Raw genomic sequence first — 22048 nt, forward strand, 5'->3', positions numbered from 1 at the left:
CTTTTCTTCACGGGGGGCTAAGGCGTCTTCGAGCCCCCTTCCAATCCCGGGTCCGGCCGGGTAATCCCTGCCCAGCGTTCGGGCGTGCCTTTTTTTCAGCCGAGACACAACCCTGAACGTGGGGCCCGCCAGCCCGGCGGCTGCCTCGTGGAAGTCACGTTCCTTCTGCCCGTCCTCTCGGGTACTCTATGGTTTTCGTGGCCGACTACTCTAATTCTAGTTCCGGTCTCTATGGCGGCCGGCGGAGGCAGGAACGGTTGTAGGTCGACTGAATTAGCCGCCAAAGGTCCAATGAGAATGGAGGACTGATAAAATATTAGCCAATAGAAGCTAGGGATTGGGGTCAGGTGGGCAGATTGACAGTACCACTGGCCAGTGAACAACGCCTAGGGCGGGTCGCTCGTAGGGCTTATCCCGCCTGTCCCGCCATTCTCGCTAGTTCGATCGGTAGCGGGAGCGGAGAGCGGACCCCAGAGAGCCCTGAGCAGCCCCACCGCCGCCGCCGGCCTAGTTACCATCACACCCCGGGAGGAGCCGCAGCTGCCGCAGCCGGCCCCAGTCACCATCACCGCAACCATGAGCAGCGAGGCCGAGACCCAGCAGCCGCCCGCCGCCCCCCCCGCCGCCCCCGCCCTCAGCGCCGCCGACACCAAGCCCGGCACTACGGGCAGCGGCGCAGGGAGCGGTGGCCCGGGCGGCCTCACATCGGCGGCGCCTGCCGGCGGGGACAAGAAGGTCATCGGTGAGGACCGGACAGGGACGGGGGTGGGGCCCTCGGGCAGCCCAGCAGCGGAACCGTTAGCCGGAGCTGGGCGAGCCGGCGGGCGCGCGGCCGGTGGGCACCGACTCCGCGGCGCGCGGCCGCCCATCCCCCCCGTCCCCCCCTCACTCCCTCTCGCGGGGACCCGCCCGGCAGGCGCGCGCGCACTGCCTCCCGCGCCCCCTGTGGACCCCGCGCGGCCGCGCGCCCCTCCCCCTGCGGCCGCGCGCCGCCGACCGCGTGTGCGACGGGGTCCCCTCCCCGCCGACCGGCCTCGTGCGCTCGGGCCCGCACGCCGTTGTTCGCGTCACCCCCACCCAGCTCCCTTCCGCGTGTGCTCGGAGGGCGCGGCGCACCGCCTACGCAGGCCGGAGCGGCTTCCCCTTCCCTCACGTGCTCTCCGTCCGCGGCCTGCGCACACACCCATCCTGGGGCCCGCGCCCCGGGCCTGCCCTGGAGCGCCCCGCGCTTCAGACTCACCCACGTGTGCGGCGGCGGCGGCGACTGCGTGGCCCCGCACCCGGGCGGTGGAGAGAAAGGGCTGTCAGGTGGCCGCGGCGGCCGGCGTGCGAGGGACCGGATGCCCAAGCCGGGCGGATTTGGAAAAGGATAGCTGGTAATCGTGGCTTGTTTTGCTTTGTTTTCTTTTCCAGCAACGAAGGTTTTGGGAACAGTAAAATGGTTCAATGTAAGGAACGGATATGGTTTCATCAACAGGTGAGCTGCCGGGCTCTGAAGCCTCCATCCCACCTTCTTGCTTGCTTCCTGCTCTGTCGGCTTCTCGGGGCTTGGGAAGCCCCAATCCACAGCTCTGTTCTGAAAGGCGTTTACTACCTCTGGTGTATTAGTATGATTTTTTGTTGTTGTTGTTTTCCTTGATTAGGGATTAGTGGATCTAGAGAATGCCTTTGTTTTGCAGCTAAATATTAATTTGAAGCTAACTTAAAAGGCTTCGTCACAGTACAAAGCAATTCAAAAGGCAAGCGGAGTGAATGAGCCATTCCTTAACAGGGTAAACGGGAAACTACGGTCCAGTACATTTTTATCCTTGTCATCTTTTTCTACTTTATTGAACTCGGTATTTGAGAATGTGATCCACTGACATCGGATATTTATACATTGTTAACGTTTTAGGGTAAGAGGATTTGACTATATGAGGTTTTGTCATCTTTACCGAGAGGTTGTATTGCCTTTGTTTCACGTTTCATTTTAATACCTGAGATAAATTTTGTCTTAGCACAGCTTTGACCAGAGAGAACTGTTTTTATTTGCTCATCCAGTAAATAATATATTTACAAGAAAGTGGTTTTTTTTCCTTCTTCCGTTCTTATTTTTCATTCTTCCTTGTCCTAGAATCATAACTGGTTAAGTCGATTTCTGTTAGATCCCTGGCTGTAGCTTATTAGAGTGGCCATAGTCACTGGTAACTTGACATTTTTCTTCCTGTTTGAAGGCAAAGCTGCAGACACGTCTTTAGGACTTACCCTTCGGGTTGTTTGTAGGAGTGGTGGTGGTAACGTGCAGTAGACGCACTGTATTCCATGGGCTCCCTTGTAAGCCGGGCATCATTTTCAAGATGGCTGCCAAGGCTAGTAGTGCTAGTTACATGGGTGCAGAGCACTGGGTATGCCAGTAGCAATCTTGGCCTCACAGGTATGGTACTTAGTGCCATCTCAGCATTGTCTTGCTTGCTTACTGTAGAAGACCTAAGCAGATGATTAAAAGAACAATGTGGAATGGACAACAAATGGGCAAAATCAAGCTTAAGGACAGAATCATTGCCTGATGAAAAACTGTTCATTAATCAATCATAGAGTATTGTGGAAACACTCAGAGTAAGAGATAAGCATTTGGTGATCTATTCTCTACTTTTGCAATTGTGGGAAAATATTTTGTTTCTTCCAAAATCTTAGGATTTTCCATCTTGTTATATACTGTTTGCTTTCCTGGCTGGCCGAAACTACGTTTTTCATTAATTTTTTGATAATGGCTTACTAGCAAGAAGGAAGGGAATGCTTATATATAATTGGCATACTGATAGCTTTTTAACTGATCTCTCTGAACTTTCTAGTGTTTTAGTTTGTATTTCTGTCTTACTCTGATTATCGTTACTAGTCTAACCCTTAAACCAGTGGTTTTCAAATTTAAGTGTGCTTACCTTGGGAGGGTGTGATGTAAGTGGTGAGTTCCTCCTTCTGAGCCTTGGATTCATTAGGTCTGGGTACATTTTTAACAGGAATGATAATGGTCTTCGGGCCATACCTTCAAAATCACTGCTTTTAACCCTTGACCCAATGTAATGGTAACTCTGGTGTGCAAATTTGCAGCCTTTTCAGCGGATAGATTGCAGGTTTTGTATGTGTTGAAGAAGTTTTAGCATGTGCCTTGTTTCGCTGCATTTTTTTTAAGTAGGCATAGGTTATGACATTTTTTGAAATCAACAGTTTTGTCCAGAATAAGAGTAATATCTTTACATTTTTTAAGTATTTAGTCCATGAGATACTGTTCATTGAATATCTCTATTCTGAATTGGAATCAACTCAATTGGTCATCCTCCAGGGCAAGTTATGAATTGGCTTTTGATGGTCCTTTGTTTGGACTATCCTAACCTCAATTATTTTGTCAAATTAACTGGTTAAAATGTTCTTTATGCTTCTGAACTGGTTTTAATGATTCTGGGACTTTTTTAATAAGATGCTGTAAAATCTGACTCCAATTAAATACAGGGAAGATTTGCTTTAATTAAGGAAAATGTATGTGATAAAAGAAATCACTTTGGAAGCTAGCAGTTGGTTCTATATGTAGTTCGTGTAGTGGAACAAATAGACTTGGCTGGAGGCACCTGTCTCTTATGAGGGAGGGAGACAGACTGACACATAACGTGCTGTTTTCTGTATAAAGGAGAGGGTGCAGTGTTCGGGATGACTATTGTGACGACTTTTAATTGGGGTTTTTGGATGCGCTGGATTATATATGCTAGGATTGTAAGGAATTTTTATAATTACAATATTGTATGTAAATTTTCTGCCTTTAAAGACATAATTTCATTGTAAATGTGTTTATTCCAGCCTGAATTACCACCTGATGAATTGTTACAACCTTGTTAGAATTAATTCATGAAAGGGCTTCTCCCTGATGGTTATATTGTGAAGAAGGTGCTAAGTAACATGAGCATAGAGCTTTTAAAAATAGCAGAAGTTTTGGCTTTATTTTGTTAGACTGTGTAATCTAGAAATTCTAAGAAATTCATTGAGTTATTCTTTTGTGAACTGTGTCTACAAAACATAATCGGAGAATGTGACTAGAGGGGTTTATTAGCTCCCCCCAGATTACTGTTGAATTTTGTTAGTGGTTGAGTATTGATCCATATTCACCAAAGATTACCATGAATTGGCAACAGTTTATAGTGACCAGAATAGGAATATTTTTCTGTTTCCAGAGTACTTAAAATGTTTAAATTAATAATTCTTAATGTTTTGAGGTGAAAGAATTTGGAGCAGAGGTCACAAATTTGTGACCTTCTGGCTAAAACTACTCCCAGATGCTTTGATTAGACAGTACAGTATTTTTTAAAGGAATTGGGATTAATTACTAACATTTATAATTCAGGAGATAACACCAAGTAATCCAGATTATTATATTTTTAAGATCTGAACTTTAGCTGGCTTTGGGGGCCTGTATTTCCACATAAGTAAAAACCACCTGGCCATATTGTCACCACATTTAGGTGGGGTATACTTTTTTTACGACAGCCTTCACGCCTGGCCTCTGTGTATGCATTTGAGTTTATTACCCATGGTCTAGGAAGATGTAATAAACCAAGCCAGGGAAAGGTTTGGCTATCTCTCTTTAGTCACGCCTATCAGGTTTAGTCTCCCTTTGGGGTGGGGGCTCCCTTGTGGGGATTCCATATGTACATAACTGATAGGTGACTTCCAACACATGTTGGTGAAAATAGATACAGCTAACAAGTATTTATACTAGGGTCTATAGTAAGTGCTTAAAATGAGCCAATTTACTTAATCTTTAAAAACCTTTGAGGCGTAGGTACTGTCATTCTGAGGCACAAAGGAGTTGTTACTTGTCCCCATAAGCATAGGTGATAAGTGGCAGGATTGGAACTGTTTTTTGACTCTGGAGTTAGTGTTCACCAACTGCTCTTATGCTGTCTCTGAAATAGACCCTAGCCATTTTCAATTTGGTTGTTGTCCACATAGTTACAGATAATTTCTTAGGGTGATTATTTTTAGCCGTTGAAAGACTCTTAAATGATCCAAGTATGTCACTGGGGCTCTTGTCTGCTGACTTGCTAGGTCCTGGATTTGAAAAGTTTTCTGCCTTTCACTATCTACTTTGTGAAGTTTGGGATTGTTAAAAGTTCTAGTTTAGCATGTAGGTCAGCTATACAAATAAAAGGACTTGCTTAATTCCTGATACTGGGAGGTGAAGAATTAAAGGAGAGAATGTTGCACCTTATCTCCCTTAATCTTTTTTTTTTGTATGGCCTGCAAGGTAAGACTGAATATTGCCTTTTTAAAGGGTGATTTTTCTTGAGATGGAGTTTCACTCTTGTCACCCAGGCTGGAGTGCAATGGCACGATCTTGGCTCACTGCAACTCCGCCTCCCAGGTTCAAGCGATTCTCCTGCCTCAGCCTCCCGAGTAGCTGGGATTACAGGCGCCCGCCACCACACAGGCTAATTTTGTATTTTTAGTGGAAACAGGGTTTCTCCATGTTGGCCAGGCTGGTCTCAAGCTCCTGACCTCAGGTGATCCACCCGCCTAGGCCTCCCAAAGTGCTGGGATTACAGGTGTGAGCCACTGCGCCCGGCCTCTAAAGGGTGATTTTTTTTTCTTTTTTAAAGGTGGCGGTGTAAAGTACTTACTGTGTGGTTGTTGGTTGTTTGAAGTGGAGTCTCTCTGTGTTGCCCATATGGGTCTTGCACTCCTGGGCTCAAGTGATCTTCCAGCTTCAGCCTCCCAAATGTGTGGTTCTTAATAGAAGTGTAAACCTTTGGAAGGATGTCATTACCAAAAATCTCTTGGGCTGTTAAAGTCACACTGATCTTAACTTGATCACAGTAGATCCATTGCTAAGCCACATAAGTCATGGGTAGACCGTAACATAACTGACAAAATGTTTTGGCACTAGGGAAGGTTTAAAGACTTTTCTGCAGGTGCTGCTAAGGGAGAGATGTCGAAGGTTCCAAACTGGAACCCTAAAGACAAACATCAATGACATGTATGCAGGAGACATTAGGAGAGATTTGTATGCTGGTTATATTAACCATTGATCTTAAGCTGGCAAGAAGTCATCCGTGTTCACCAAGTCACTGATACGTGACTTGGAGAATACTAGTAGGTCCCACTCCCTGTGTCCTCCCAAAGTACAATCCTTTACTCTTGAAATCTAGGATAGAGAACTAGTATCCAGTTTGACTCGTGAACAATGTGAGTTTGAACCACACAAGTCCACTTACACACAGATTTTTTTTGATAAATATATTGGAAAAATGTTTGGAGATTTGCAACAACCTGAAAACTTCAGATGAACCACATAGCCAAGAAGTATCCCCCAAAATAAGGAAAAGTTGAGTATGTTGTAGATACTAGTCTGTTTTATTATTTACTACCATAAAATGTACACAAATGCATTAGAAAGTTAATACAGCCATTTGCAGTTGAGAAATGTAAACAAACATAAAGATTCAGGCAGCATTAAATCATAACTGCACGACATTCACTGTAGTAATATTGTACTATTATAATATGTAGCCACTGCCTATTGCTACTGCAGTGAGCCCCTTAAAATGCCATGTGACGCTAATCATCTTCACATGAACAGTTTATCTCTCCAGTAAATTGCATGTCAGTAAAAAGAACTTGTAGTACACAGGTATTGTGGTTTAGTGCAATACTGTAAGTCTTCAATAGCACCATGGGACCCATGCAAAGTGGCGCTAGTGATGCTGAGAAAAGTCATGGCATTGTAAGAAAAAGTTCAGTTGCTCGATATGTGCTATAGATGAGGTCTACAGCTGGAATTACCTTTCAGACAGATGTACACTTACCGTATCGATAAGTGCAGTACTGTACATGTATTTTCTCTTACAACTTTCTTAGCATTTTCTTTTCTGTAGCTTTATTGCAAGAATACAGTATATAATACATATAAGACAGAAAATGTGTTAAGGATTTATGTTACCAGTAAGGCTTTCCAGTCACGAGTAAGCCATTAAATTTTGGAAGAGTCAAAAGTTACAGGCAGATTTCAACTGTGCAGCAGGTTGGCACCTCAAACTTCTATCCACCCTCATAGATACTGAGTTATTCAAGGATACACTGTATTACCTTCCTGTCCCCCTAGTCCTGGGGCTGCAGTTGCTGAGTTTGCTACCCTCCAGTCTTAGCCCTTGGAAACATACAGTTTGTCCGAAGGCAGAATCATAGACAATATGTGGGAAACAGAAGTGAGTCTGTTGGGTGTGAAGGGTGTTTAATAGAGAAGAAATACAAAGATAAGTGGACATTATTATCTTACAGTCATCTACAAGGCTTGGAAATTGGTATCTGGTTGCTTTAGGTTATGGAGCATATAGATGGTAAATCCTGGAGTTTTTATAACCACAGGATTGTAAATTAGTGTATGCAGTTACGTGAATTAAGGTGTTAGACTAGTGTGGTCTGGTGATCTGCAACAAAGTAGTAGTATAAGAGCATTTAGTTACGGATAAATTTATGTATAATAAGTCTTATTTAAGGCAATACTGTGGATTGGCAAAAAAGTTTTCTAAAATTTAGCTTATTTTTTATGTAGATATACAGCTAGGATAAAGATAGTTATGTTTTAAAAGGAGTGGGAGGGGGGTCAAACATGGTGAACATGCTGGAGTAGAGTCCGGGAGTTTGGATGGATTGGGCCATGAAAAGCAAATGCTAGAATTCCTAGTTCCTGTGGCATGGAGAATTATCTGGCAAGCTGTAATTGTCTTTTGACTTACTAAAAAGTTTTCCAGGGAAGTTAAATTTTTTTGCCTTTGTTTTCCCATTTTGAGTTGCATTTTGTCTATTTTTAAGACCCTTACCAATCTGGATAGGCCATAGTATAGGAGTGGTAGCAATTAGATTTTAATTTAGAAATCTGGCTAGTATTAGTGAATAGTAAATGCCCAATAAATACTAAAAAGATTTGAGTACCTACCTTAGTAATGTAAGTTATTAAGTGTTTAGTGTAGTTTTTCTCATTTTGCAGGTAAAAAAGCCAATGAGGCAGCTTTCCTAGGTTACACAGCTGTTAATAGTTGAGTCAAGACTAAAAATCTAGCAGGGCGTGGTGGTGCATACCTGTAATCCCAGCTACTCATGGCTGAAGTGCAAGAACTTGAACCCCGAAGGCAGAGGTTGCAGTGAGCCAAGATCGCTACTGCACTCCAGCCTAGGCAACAAAGTGAGACTCCATCTCAAAAAAAAATTGAGTACTGTTATTTCTTTTTCTTTTCTTTTTTTTTTTTTAAGATCTGCAAAGGGGTTTAATAATGCAAATATCACATATATTTCCATTTTTAACACCATATTTAAGTTTTCCATTTTCTTAACAATAGAAAGTGATAAAAATGTTTTTCCCAATGTAATAATACAAATGGAAAATATTATAGACAGTCATACACTAACCCAATGAATAAGATTCACCAGAAGCAAAATCTATTTTGGGGGTCCTATATTGTTACATATATACAGGGCACCAGAACCACATTTAGACTAATACTTTTTATTTCTAGTTAAAACAATGCAGGGCACTCCTGTGACCTGCAAATCTAATTGTACATATGTATGTGTCAGACTGTGCAGGTGGCCAAGAAGAATAGAAAGAAAGACTTTATCCAGCTTTGGAGTTCAGGGCCTGATTGCCCCAGCTTTAGCCCATAGGAACTTGACAGCTTGTTCATACCTCTCATCTTTAGTCATAGTTTCTCTTTCTCCAACCCCTTTTCTCCCTAACTACCCTGTGCCATTTAGACTGGAAATTCTAACAGGTAGCTTTTTCTTTCTGAATTATCTTTACTACTGTATAATTTTTATTTTCAGAATATTCCTTATTTCTACATCTTGAAGACATTTCTTTCTAGTAGATGGGGGAGCTAGAGCTTACATTCACTGCCGGAAAAGGGTCAGTTCCAGTGTTAATTTCCCAGCAAACACCTGAGAGAAAAACTGAACAGAAAAGAATAGTGATGGCTGGCAGAGAGTGACACCTGCACCCAGAAAGCTGCACTGCAGCTGTCTAATATTTGAGGGTCTCTTTTGTTATAACTGCCAGTTTAAACTAGAGATTCTGGCTGGTTGCAAATTCAAAGCAGATCAATACATTTAAATCACTGGTTCAACAAATCACTCTTTTTAATGGTATAATGTTTTTATTGCAATTGAGGACGTTTTCAGTAAATACCTTGAGCTTGAGGCCCTGGCTAAGTATTCCTTTTGCAATACTGTTTTTACTGTCATGACACTGGTCAGTGAACTGTGTTAGTTTCACATATCTATCTATGTACCCACAAAACACCTCCCTGTCTTTGCAGGAGTGACATTACCCTGTGTGTAATGGCAGCCTTGTGCTTTCTCTGTGCAGAGACAGGGTCTTGCTCTGTTGCGCAGGATGGAGTACAGTGGCATGATTATAGCTCACTGCACCCTCATTTCCGGGACTTGAATGGAGGCCCGGCTAATTTTTTATTTTTTATAGATATAGGGTCTCGCCACGTAACTACTTTTAATTATTTTTATTGCCGGGTATGATGATATTGATATGTGAATACCTGTTGTAACTACATTAGAAGGCATAACAAACAGTCAGAGCCACCACAAAATGGATTGATAAAGAAATGATGTATTACCCAGATACCATGAGTAGCATTATCAGTAATGAAAAATTCTCCACAGAAGCTGCATTTTTAGTGAATTTAATGCGTATTAAAACAGTACAGAAATACATACATGACTCAGATAACAATAAACAAATTTACTTTCTATACCAAATCTTTACATAGTCTTCTAGCAACTAACACCCACCACTTCCATTAATGCAGATAGTGCTCCCTATCTTTGGAAAAAAATTTTATTTTTTTATTTTTTTTGAGATGGAATCTCACTCTGTTGCCCAGGCTGGAGTGCAGCAGCTCACTGTAACCTCCGCCTCCTAGCTTCAAGCAATTCTCCTGCCTCACCCCCCAGAGTAGCTGGGACTATAGGCACACACAGCCACGCCTGGCTAATTTTTTGTAATTTTAGTAGAGACGAGGTTTCACGATGTTGGCCAGGCTGATCTTGAACTCTTGGCCTCCCAAAGTGCTGGGATTGCAGGCGTGAGCCACTGCACCCGGACTGGAAAAACTTTAAATACCCTGCCAGGGGAAGTATTGCCCCTGTTGAAAATCACTATTCTAGACTTTGCCTGTATTTGCCTTTCTTACTCTACCAGTTTTTTATTGTATTTCCCCTTAGAGCCTTAGAGTTTGAAATTCAGTCATATTGGAGAGCAGAACTAATAAATGATGGCTGTAATCTGTTTTTGTGGTGCCTATGGAGTTATGGACAGATGGACATTAGGTACAGCCATCATTTCCCTAGGCAATCCTAATCATCTAGCTTGAAAGGTCAGTTTTCAGTCACTTGCCTTAAGTCGCTTTTACAGTTTACCTGTTCTGTTTTTTTAATTATCCTGTTCCCATCAATTAAAAATGTTCTTATAATAATCCAAGCTATAATTTACAGGTCAGATTTAAAGTTAATTTTATGTGGATCCTTTGATGCATATGTTGCCCCCAGTTCAGCAAGAAGCTAACAGTCAGTAAGCCAGTTTGTCCAGTTCATTGTAACCTTTGTTCCCTTTGTCATTAAACGCTAGAGCTACTACTGAGCTTTTTCTCACTCTGACCTGACGGAGTAAAGAGGGTGAGGCAGGCCACTGCAGGCCTGGAAATCCGTTTCCTTCTCCAGTGGTGATTCTTGCTCCTCGTGTTATCACCTTAATCCCAATATCCAGGCTAAAAAGTGAGATTATTCTCTACCCCCTCGCTTCTGACATCCAGTCATCCACAAAGTTTCTCATTTTGCCTCAAAAAGAGATCTCAAATGTCTTTTTATACATGGCTCCGTGGTCTAAACCTTCATCAGTCCTTGTCTGGACTTGTGGAGTAGCTTTTATAACTGGGCTTTTCTTACATTCAAACATACCTTATCACCCAAAGGTCACAGTTCCCATTAGGTTTCACTCTTTGCGTTATACATTCTGTTGGTGGGGAGGGGGGTTCTCATTTTTATGATCTCAAGGAAAGTTGGTAGTTGGGAGATGCAGGATAAGGTGAGAATGTAACTACTACTTCTGTTGGTAACCATGCTCTAGAGGTAAGAGGAGGGTGTGCTAGAACAGTTAATGTTTAATAGGATAAGGAGGGGCAGAATATATTTTGCTAGTCATTGCTACCCTCTTAATTATGGCTCAGTAGGTCACACTTTAATTTCTTAGACTTTTTTTTTTTTTTGCCTATCTTACGGGTAATGAGGCTACAACTGTTTGCAACTGCTGAAGTCTTGAAAGCAGAGAGCATGGTGGCTTGTGTTTTTTGATTTTTGCCAAATTTCCTGGTACCTAATTGGCAGCCAGAGAGTCTCTGGGAAAATTAATCTTTGACAACATGAGATTTATTTCATTTTCTAACTTGTTCAACTTGGTTCTGTCTTGCAGGAATGACACCAAGGAAGATGTATTTGTACACCAGGTGAGTGCTTGTGTAGATATTTGCACTTCTGATTCAAGGATTGTAAGAAGAAAAGGTTAGATATGTTCTCAGCTTTTGTTCCTTATAAAAGGTTAAGTCCAACCACCAGTTTATTTACTTACGACAGGAGTAGTAGCATGCTTAAAAATGTATACGTGGAAATGTGTTAGAGTTGACTTAATTATCCTAGACATTTCAAATTGGAATTTTGTCAACAGCTGTGGCTTTCTCAAATGTTGAGTCAAACTCACTGCATTAAATATTTATACCTAATTTCAGATGAACAGATTATTCCATGATTCTAAAGTTGAACAAATAATGTTGCTATAAATACACAGAAACTTTGGCAAGAAGTTTTCAAAGGCTTTTAGGTGTACCTGTAGGGACAAATCTCCATAATCAAGGGTAAATAAGACAGACCTGCAAAACATAGTAATTGAAGTGAGTACTTGAAAAGTAGCATAAAGAGCCTTCTGCTTACTTTAAATCACTTTGAATGGGTATTGGGTTTTTTTTTTTTTTAAACCTTTGGAGAGTTTTGGCTGGCTTGGAAAATGAAAAAATTTCACTAGTTTAAGGTTAAGTGGGGGGAAGTGTGACAAGGTTGGCAGCTGCTCATTAAATAATTTTTAGATTGGCTTCCAGTGATTTGGGAAGAGAAAACTGTTAACATAGGATGAGTACTGATGAGTACTGCATAGTGAACTTTCTCCCTAAGTATCATTTAGGGAAAATGTTTGCACATTCAGGAATTAAGATTATTACTAATGTAAACCACTGCCAAGTGTATGTTAATACTTCAAATTTAGATATGCTGTAGGCTACATTGAATGTACTTATCCTCACAGATACGAAATGAGTAGGAAAAAATATGTTTGTGCTATCAGTTTTCTCACTAAGGCTTTTGAAATATTGTCAACTTGTATTAAAATTAGAGACCATAACTACTTTTTTGTACTATAATCCAGAAATCAAAAGACCTAAAAGTTAATATCCATACTCACATTTAATTAGATACTAGCTTTTATGGCAGCATGTTTCATAGGAAGGGCTGTCATAGGTTGGTGCTTTGTAGCTCACTGAAGTGTCCTACACAGTATTTGATGACAAGGAGGAAGCTATATCAATTTCTAGTACACCCAAACCCAATCAGGTAGTTCAGGGTCAAATGTAATTATGGAATCATTTAAATTCTAAATGTAAATAAATACAGGACTACTTCAGACAAAATGTTGTTTTAAAGTAGATGTTTTATAAAATTGGTATTCTTGTTTGGAAGAACACAGCTCAACTGTTCCTTACTCCCCTTCTGCATGTTCAAAAGAATGTGTAGACTTAGGAACAAGAGACAGCAAAGTTTCTCGGTCTTGTTGCCTGTTGGCAACCCTTAAGGGTTGGGGTTGGGGCAGGGGTGGAGATGTTGATAAAAATAAAGAGTTGGGATTTTAATTATCCATAATTCTGCTATCCCCTATGACTGCAGGTAATTGATAGTTGGCTATATCTGAAAGGTATGAAAACTATGTGACAGTTTAGATGACAGATGAGATCAATTATTTGACTCAACTCACCCAGTTGTACTGATTCACAAGGTGCCACCAATATGCTTTCATTTTTTTGGAAGTGGTTTCAACATGTAGTTGTTTCTTGGGACTTTGGCTGCTCAGGTCTTAGTGGTGTATCAGGGAGACTGCAGTTCTGGGCAGCTTCACTTAATTGGCCTCAGATTCGTTGATTGTCCTGTCTCCTCTGCAATGGAAATGCATGAGTGATCCTGTAATGGATATAGCTGAGATTTGGAGTGAACATGGGATTTGGAGACCCAATACCTGGGTTTAGAAAGTCTCCTTACTAACTGTGTGACCTTGGGCAAGTCACCTAACTTTAAAGCCTGTTACATTATCTGTGTAATGGGATTAACAATACTTTCACATGTCCTGTCTCATAATGAGATTGAATAGATAGTAAGTGAAAGAATGTTGCAAAAAAATTTCATAGAAACGTGAGATGTTACTCTTCCTCCCTTCTCTTAACAGTCTGGAGAAAGTAGAAGCAACAAGTCTCTAATACAAGATTTATTGAATTCTGGGGAGGTGATAACTAACAATTCCATGCAGTCAGATCATATAAAGAATGACATAGTTAATACACATGAATTGCATTTCCACTGATGTATTATCAGATTGGAAGGGATTTTGGTTGACATTTGTAATTGAGTTTGATACGGTAACACAGGGGCAAAGTTGGTTTGGTCAGCTTTGAAGCATGCAAAACCAAACTCGCCTGTCATCTAAACTGACGCAGTGTGGGGCCACCTTCTCCTATTAAGTGCAGTCCTCAGGGGATAGATGGATATCCTCATTTGTTAAAAGTTATATATAATGCTTTTGCAAAAAGCAGTTTTTAAAATGATGTGTCTGTCTTGAGTGTTAAATTACTTGTTTTAGTTTTGTAAATAGTGGTACAATGCTGGGGCCTTGTATGATTGGAGTGTTTTTGTTGAAGTTGGGGATAGTGTGGTCCCCGCTTTCCTAAATTTATTGATGGTTTGGTCTTATTTAAAGCAAATCTTAAGTGTATATCCAAGCTAAAATAATATTGACTCTGGTACATTTTAAATGAAAAAGCACATTATTCTCCCCTGTTAATCTATTTTTGGAATGTGATATTACTAGACTGCCATAAAGAAGAATAACCCCAGGAAGTACCTTCGCAGTGTAGGAGATGGAGAGACTGTGGAGTTTGATGTTGTTGAAGGAGAAAAGGTGAGGATGCTTTTTGTGTAAAGGTTTGACTTCAGTATGGAAATATTTTGGAGGTCTCATCCATTAGGATGGTGGCTCTAATGTGGATGGATGTGTTCAGGTGACCTCATGAACACAGGTGCATCAAGCCTAATGTTCTGGCTGCAGTTAGAGGGCAATCTCTTCAGAACAGTGAGGAACTGATATTTAGTCATTTCTGTGCACCCCTGGTCACGCAGTTGCGCCCCCCCCCCCTTTTTTTTCCTTAACTTTGTTGTTTTTTGCTTTGTTTGAAAATGTTCTGATTTCCTTTTGAAAGTGTTGAAAGTGTTCTGATTTCCTTTGTCACTATCAATATGTAATGGCTTTTGTAGGGTGCGGAGGCAGCAAATGTTACAGGTCCTGGTGGTGTTCCAGTTCAAGGCAGTAAATATGCAGCAGACCGTAACCATTATAGACGCTATCCACGTCGTAGGGGTCCTCCACGCAATTACCAGCAAAATTACCAGAATAGTGAGAGTGGGGAAAAGAACGAGGGATCGGAGAGTGCTCCCGAAGGCCAGGCCCAACAACGCCGGCCCTACCGCAGGCGAAGGTTCCCACCTTACTACATGCGGAGACCCTATGGGCGTCGACCACAGTATTCCAACCCTCCTGTGCAGGGAGAAGTGATGGAGGTAAGTTTCACCATCAACAACAGCAATGTGATAAGTTCTGGTAGGACTGTTTAGAGCTGTTAATTATATGGAAAGCAACTTGGATTCCTAGTAAGAACCAAAAGGATTAATTTATAATGTAGTCACAATTACTAGATGGTCTGTTTTGTTTGTTTTTTAACTCTTGGATTTATCTGGTTGGGTTTTTTTATTATATTACTGACCCAGTAGGCTTAATTTCCATTGTCTTTTTCAGGGTGCTGACAACCAGGGTGCAGGAGAACAAGGTAGACCAGTGAGGCAGAATATGTATCGGGGATATAGACCACGATTCCGCAGGTATGGTCCACGTAAACATGTTTCTATTAAAATTTCCTCAAACCCGTGTTAGGACTCAGCAATATCATGCCTCTCCTGCAGACTCATTTTTCTGTTAACACTTCACGTTTTCTTTCATCAGATGCCTAAGAGGTGAACCTATTAAAAACAGCTTGTATAGATGAGGTCTGCTTTATACATAAATTTTTTTAGAAAATGATGAGGGTTTGGAATTTCAAATTTTCTGTCCTTGAACAGGTAAGATAATATTTTAAACCACACCTTTTAAACCTGCCTCCTTGGTAGGGAGAAAGGAAAGCATTAGGAGTATCTGAATTGTACCATGGCATTAGTGAAGAATCAACAGTGTTATCACTTGAAATGGCATACATTATCTTCCACTAAACACTTCTCAGTTTAGATATGTACCCCCTTTTTTTTGGAGTTGGGAGTTGTCAGCTCAAAGTTGCAAAATGAAATTGCTCCACCAAGAATTTACATTCTGCGGGGGGAAATCCAGTCTGTCGTTAGACAACTATCTACTTGAGTGGGTATTAGAAATCTTATTAATAGATGTCATTATTAGAGTAATCGAGGAAAAATTCCATGAACCAAGCATATTTTAGTCCATGCCGTAGTATACTTTGAGGCAGTGTTCCCAGTCCCACGGTGGTAGGATAGGATGGTGTAATAGTTGTTTCTCTAAGGGTTTGATATCAAAGCATTGAGTTTTCATAGGTGATCCCCAAAAGCTGACAGGTACCTCTGAAGAATCAAACCAATACAGTAATAACGCATCTTAACTGATCACTTAAATCGCAACTTTTAAATCCCCAAATTTTTAAGTGTCAAGTTTATTATTCTAGAAGTATCCAACATATCCAAAATATACTGTGAGTCTATAAGAGGGGGTTTCTGTATATAGGTTTTTAAATTTTACCAAAGTTGGAGCACTTAGTGAAGTTTTAGGAACTAGGGAATCTAGTCGAGGTTGTATTACATGTATTTATCAGCACATGTACATTGAGAGTTTTGCAAGAGCAGCTGATGTCATCATATTTTTTGTATTAATATGTCTTGTCCTGAGTTTTCAGTTAAAAGAGCTGAGGTCCTAACTGATCACTACCACAATTGAAGATCTCTGATTCAGTTTTCTACCAGGAGATTGTGTTAGCCAGATGCTGGATGTTGAAGATAGATGGGTTTTTATTTTTCAGAGTAGGTCTAAAATAGCCTCTCATGGCAGTCCATCTGTTAAGTCCATGGGTTCCAGCAGCAGAATCTTTGGTTTACCTTTTGTTACACTGAAGAGCTTAAATGTTTTGCCTAGTTTCATTGATGTCCTTAAAAATAGCATAATTTTGTGTTTGTATTCAGTGCTTCAGTTCACCGTTGAGTAAATTGTTTGTCTTTATATTGACAAACAAGCTTGCGGTTGATTTGTCTCTTAGAAAGGTATCTTTGTCCATTGTTACCCCTCCAGTGCAGAGGTTTTTGCCTTTTGGTTTAAGTTAGACTTAATGTCTACGTGTTTCAATGTTTAGAATGCTCAGTCCTGCCAGATAGTTGCAGAAGTAACATAAAATTGCTTGGAAGTTATCAATGAATGCTAGACTTTCCAAACTGTGCAGGAATCTTTTGTTCAAATGAGAGTAAATGAAACATGCTGCCCCTAATGCATGGAATGGTGTGAAATTCTGACTGGTGTGGGTTCAAGAGCAAACTGAAAGGGAAATCTTAAGACAGAGTATAGTACAAGTGTTGCTGAAAATGAGACTAATAGTAGTAAGGGGAAAATGGGGGGTCAAAAAGGGAGGTTTTTTGTTGAGAAATAACATTTATAGGCTGAAATGCAATCCAGGATAACAGTTGATGGCAGGAAAGTGACTGCTGGAACTGTTTTCTTTCTCAGAGAGGGTAGGGTTTTGCCCACAGGTGAAAATGTTGACCTTTTGTTAGGAACCTGCCGTTTTCCTGTGTAAGAAACAAGAATACATGGGCACGCATGTGTTAATGGGAAGACATGGAAGCCTTTGGTTGCTAAATTGAGACGAAAGTAAAGAGGAAGTTTGAAAAGTTTGGGGCAAAGAACCCTCTAGAACAGAAAATAGAGATGGTAAATTTATAAGTAATAGGATAACGATCATAAATTAGAAGTGAGTTCACCCAGCTTGACTCTGTGTTTCTAGCCATTTGGGCATCAGGCTCAGGTTGGGCAGAGAGTTGGATTTATCCAGATTTGGTTTATCCAGATCTGGTTTGATTTATCCAGATCTGGTTTATCCAGATGAAGACACTGGGGTAGGGATTGGTCATATGATTAGTGGTAGACTTTATACTTGGATAAAGAGGGGAGAAAAGGGGAAAATGAGGGTTGTTTTTTTTTTTTTAAATTGTTTTGTAGAAATGGAGTTGCACTGTGTTACTCAAGCAGTCTTGAACTCCTGCCCTCAAGTGATCCTCCCCAAGTGCTAGGATTACAGGTGTGAGCCACTGTGCCCAACCTTGGAGTGAGATGAATAGGTGATAGAATCGCTGTATTACAGGTCCTAGATTAAGAATGAGAAAACAATAAGGAATTACCTAAGAAAAATAGGAAGGTACATAATTGGAAAGTTGAGTGGTATAATTGAAAAAACCCAGGTAGAAAACAGCTGGACTGGGAGGTCAGTCTGAAAGCCCAGGTTATTAGAAGCTGTTACACTCGAACCTTAGTAATAACTGCAGTAAGAAAAAGATAGTAAATGGAGCAGAATCCAAAATAAGATGGAAAGCCTAGTTTTTAGAAACTGGGAGAGTTGATTTAGAAGCCACAATAAGGTTAGAACAGTCACCACTGTAGGGTTGCAGAGAAAAGTCAGAACAATTTTGTTGAAGATTCATCATGAGTTCCAAAAGATGTGGGGAAAGAGTTTTAGAATGTACAAAGGTAAATGTGAATTTATTCCCATGATGACTCATGGATACTAAAGGCCTGGGGCTTTCTGGAGTGCTCAGAGTATGGGCAGAGGAAAGGCCAGGAATCCATCATTTCTGAGCACTGGGGGAAAGAAAATCCCAAAATTTAGTATCTTTATCTTGGTGATTAAAAGACTCAAGCCTGTAATCCCAGCACTCTTTGGGAGGCCAAGGAGGGAGGATAGCTTGAGGTCAGGAATTCAAGACCAGCCTTGGAAACATAGCAACACATCGCTACTAAAAATCAGACATTAATGAGACGTGGGGGGCTTGCCTATAGTCCCAGTTACTCAGGAGTCTGAGGTGGGAAGATCACTTGAGCCTGGGAGATTGAGGCCACAGTGAGCTGTCATCATTCCATGGCACTTTAGTCTGGGCAACAAAGCAAGACTCTTCCCCCTACTCAGCATCCCCCCCCCCCCAAAAAAAAAAACCCATCTCTTTACACAAATTGCCTACAGACCACTTGATACAGAATGGGCCAGACATGGTGAGTTAGTTGTGAACCAACTGGTTACACTGGTGGGTGTGTTGAAGAGAGAAGGTTTTATCATTCTTAAGTTTGACACCGTTCATTGCAGGGGCCCTCCTCGCCAAAGACAGCCTAGAGAGGACGGCAATGAAGAAGATAAAGAAAATCAAGGAGATGAGACCCAAGGTCAGCAGCCACCTCAACGTCGGTACCGCCGCAACTTCAATTACCGACGCAGACGCCCAGAAAACCCTAAACCACAAGATGGCAAAGAGACAAAAGCAGCCGATCCACCAGCTGAGAATTCGTCCGCTCCCGAGGCTGAGCAGGGCGGGGCTGAGTAAATGCCGGCTTACCATCTCTACCATCATCCGGGTAAGCAAGCTTGGATGGCCATCCATTTATGGCAGTCGTGAGTGGTGACCATTTCGTTTTATTAATGCAAGAGTAGAAAAACCTCAGTTCCATCAGATAATGAAAGCCATGTTATTTATAATGTGTTCTGCCCTATTCTTAATTACCTAATATTTCATTTTAGGAATATTGAATATCAGAGTCATATTTGGCCACCCTTCAGCTAGTTCTCAATTCTGACACTGGAGACCTGTATTTTCATGAGTATTTTGAACTATTAGTGCTTTCTATCAACTTTTCTGAATGAATTTTATGATTTCACTAGTAAACAGAGGAAAGTTTTGCTAGCTGTATTCTGAGAAATATGTTAATTACATTATTATTTATGCATTATTTCAAAAAGGAAGTGGGGATAGCTGTTAGAATTAACCTAGATGGTGACAAATAGAGTCTGTTTGGAGAAAGTGGCAACATTAATATAATCTTTTAATCATTTCTAATTGTTTTTTTTTTTTGTTGGTTTATGTTGTTCCCGGAAAAAGACGAGAGTGTTTCGTGTCTAAAAAACTCCTAGAATGACACGTGGTTTATCATGGTTTATTTAAACTGCCTGTAGATTAATAATAATAATTCTCTGGCAGACCACATGATACAATTACGTTCTTGTTACTTTAGCTCATTAGCTCACTTGTTTTTATTACCCTTAATTCCAAAATTAAGGGATTCTTTTTCATTTCGCTTTTTACATGATATCGAGAGGTACGTGATTGTTGTTCCCTCCAAAATTAGCATTCAACCAGTGGTGCTTTTGGTTTTTTCCCGTTTACTATTTGCTGGATGGCAAGAGATCTGTTAATGTCTCCCAATACACAAGTAATGTAAACTAGGGCATGTACTACACTAAATGAAGATCACCATGAATTCTACATGATCATCTTTATTTTTTTCTTTACAGTTTAGTCATCCAACAAGAAGAAATATGAAATTCCAGCAATAAGAAATGAACAAAAGATTGGAGCTGAAGACCTAAAGTGCTTGCTTTTTGCCCGTTGACCAGATAAATAGAACTATCTGCATTATCTATGCAGCATGGGGTTTTTATTATTTTTACCTAAAGACGTCTCTTTTTGGTAATAACAAACGTGTTTTTTAAAAAAGCCTGGTTTTTCTCAATACGCCTTTAAAGGTTTTTAAATTGTTTCATATCTGGTCAAGTTGAGATTTTTAAGAACTTCATTTTTAATTTGTAATAAAAGTTTACAACTTGATTTTTTCAAAAAAGTCAACAAACTGCAAGCACCTGTTAATAAAGGTCTTAAATAATTGTCTTTGTGTAAATTTGTCTAGTTTTGCTTTAGTTTGTAAGTATTTAGCTATTTATAGGACCCTTAGCTTGACCCAGTCTACAAATAGATGATGCTCACTGGTAATTCCCTCAGGTAAAATGTCTCAAAATCTCTAATCCTTTAAGTGGCATGCCTGTGGGCCCATACTAAAAATTAGAAAATACATACTCTGATAACCTGGCCATTTTTCATTGAAGGATTTAGCTCATTTGTAAGAAAGACTTGAGTGTAGATTTTGGGTGGGTCCCTTTGGCTGTGAGGCATTGTTTAAAAGGGCATTGCTCTAGCCTAGACCGACCAGACTCTCATCCTGCTCCACTTAGTTTTGTCACCTTGGGAGAATTTGTTTCAGTGTGTCAATTGAAGATGCCAATTGAAGTGTTAGGACAACCTGTCACACTGCCTGGTGTGGTCATCAAATATTGGTTCAGCTCCTTATGTCCTAGAGATGGAAACAAGTAATATAAAACCCATGGGAAAGCTGCTTAGGAACATGGAGGTTGGTGAGCTTGTAATTATGTGGTTCTCAACACCTTAAATCCTAAGCCTAGTCTGGCTGATCTTTTCTCTTTTTGAGACGGAGTCTTGTTCTGTCATCAGGCTGGAGTACAGTGGCACAATCTTGGCTCACTGCAACCTCCACCTCTAGGTTTAAGCGATTCTCCTGCCTCGGCCACCTTAGTAGCTGGGAGTACAGGTGCGTGCCACCACACCCAGCTAATTTTTGTATTTTTAATAGAGATGGGGTTGCACTGTGTTAGCCAGGATGGTCTTGATCTCTTGACCTTGTGATCCGCCCGCCTCAGCCTCCCAAAGTGCTGGGATTACAGGTGTGAGCCACCGCACCTGGCCTCTCTGGCTTTTGTTTTCTAATGTTTTGTTAGATGTTCTTTGGCTTGCTTTGTGAAATAGTCATGTAGTTGATAGTGACTGCTGCCCCGAAACACTCCAGATCATCCTGGCCAGCTATCAGGGCCCAGGGGAAGCAGACAGTAGGGGTCGGGAGTAGGCCAGAGTGGCACATCAGGAATCCTGCAGTGCTGTGGAAGTCATCTCCTGCTTGGGACTAACTCTTTGCAGAGGACTTGATAAGAGACTACTCAAAAAAAATTTTTTTAACCCTACTTAGTGTAAATATCTGTACTGCAGAAGTGAGTTAGCCTATTTCTTGCTGGTGTTCATGAAAATACTGTGTTGGCAAGAGTGCAGTGGACCTGAAACTTCAACTGTTGGTAGCATCTAAACTGTTACTTACAACTGCAGACGCACACAGTCCCTGACTTAAACAGTGGTTTGACTTAGGGGCTTTTAGTGGGGTTACGGTTTCTACTGAATCAACATTGTTTTCATGGCATCACAGAGTTGAAAAATCATAAATGAAACCATTGTAAGTTGACTGCAGTGTTGCCAACATTAAATGCAGTTTCAACTTAATGATTTTCTGACTTGTGGTTTATGGGGACATTGACCCATCATAAATTGAAGAGCATCTGTATTAGGATATCATGGAAATGGGAAGACCAAAAACATTGGTTAAACATCCAATAATGTTAGAATGAGATTCTCGAAAACACATTGAGGAGGACAGTTGTTTGGGGGAATACAATCTTAGGTGCTAGTGTTGGAAACAGAACTACGTACATGTTTTTAGATACTGTCTCCTGTT

General features: G+C 41.0%; 1 protein-coding gene across 3 annotated transcripts, besides 5 other annotated features; it reads left to right on the forward strand.

Moving 5' to 3' along the window:
- Positions 85-134: an enhancer, noted in NCBI's record as "active region_895". NCBI's record gives its function as "activates an Ori minimal core promoter by ATAC-STARR-seq in GM12878 lymphoblastoid cells {active_cell/tissue: GM12878}" and the evidence as "EXISTENCE:reporter gene assay evidence [ECO:0000049][PMID:35858748]".
- On the forward strand, positions 429-21816 carry YBX1 (Y-box binding protein 1). 3 transcript variants are annotated; one of them, NM_004559.5, is made up of 8 exons: positions 429-742; positions 1414-1477; positions 11501-11534; positions 14210-14299; positions 14653-14955; positions 15191-15273; positions 18792-19057; positions 19992-21816. In NM_004559.5, the coding sequence occupies exons 1-7, from the start codon at positions 577-579 to the stop codon at positions 19024-19026; spliced, it is 975 nt and encodes a 324-aa protein (NP_004550.2). In that variant the 5' UTR covers positions 429-576; the 3' UTR covers positions 19027-19057; positions 19992-21816. The 3 variants fall into 3 exon arrangements, 2 of the variants coding, with proteins under 2 accessions (NP_004550.2, XP_047277451.1); NR_132737.2 differs by lacking the exons at positions 429-742; positions 1414-1477 and adding an exon at positions 1147-1376; XM_047421495.1 differs by lacking the exons at positions 14210-14299; positions 19992-21816.
- Positions 575-774: a silencer, noted in NCBI's record as "silent region_763". NCBI's record gives its function as "represses an Ori minimal core promoter by ATAC-STARR-seq in GM12878 lymphoblastoid cells {active_cell/tissue: GM12878}" and the evidence as "EXISTENCE:reporter gene assay evidence [ECO:0000049][PMID:35858748]".
- Positions 965-1074: a silencer, noted in NCBI's record as "silent region_764". NCBI's record gives its function as "represses an Ori minimal core promoter by ATAC-STARR-seq in GM12878 lymphoblastoid cells {active_cell/tissue: GM12878}" and the evidence as "EXISTENCE:reporter gene assay evidence [ECO:0000049][PMID:35858748]".
- Positions 1185-1334: a silencer, noted in NCBI's record as "silent region_765". NCBI's record gives its function as "represses an Ori minimal core promoter by ATAC-STARR-seq in GM12878 lymphoblastoid cells {active_cell/tissue: GM12878}" and the evidence as "EXISTENCE:reporter gene assay evidence [ECO:0000049][PMID:35858748]".
- Positions 8672-8721: a silencer, noted in NCBI's record as "silent region_766". NCBI's record gives its function as "represses an Ori minimal core promoter by ATAC-STARR-seq in GM12878 lymphoblastoid cells {active_cell/tissue: GM12878}" and the evidence as "EXISTENCE:reporter gene assay evidence [ECO:0000049][PMID:35858748]".
- Positions 21817-22048: the final 232 nt, after the last annotated feature.

The sequence above is a fragment of the Homo sapiens genome, chromosome 1 (assembly GCF_000001405.40).
Source record: "Homo sapiens chromosome 1, GRCh38.p14 Primary Assembly".
In the NCBI taxonomy this organism is placed as follows: domain Eukaryota; kingdom Metazoa; phylum Chordata; class Mammalia; order Primates; family Hominidae; genus Homo; species Homo sapiens.

What these genes read in the sequence shown, in the direction of transcription:
- YBX1 (NM_004559.5), top strand. Translation starts at nt 577, where the DNA reads ATGAGCAGCGAGGCCGAGACCCAGCAGCCGCCCGCCGCCCCCCCCGCC. An exon ending in AAGATGTATTTGTACACCAG is followed by an intron (nt 11,535 to 14,209) that starts GTGAGTGCTTGT and finishes TGATATTACTAG; the next exon opens with ACTGCCATAAAGAAGAATAA. An exon ending in TATAGACCACGATTCCGCAG is followed by an intron (nt 15,274 to 18,791) that starts GTATGGTCCACG and finishes CGTTCATTGCAG; the next exon opens with GGGCCCTCCTCGCCAAAGAC.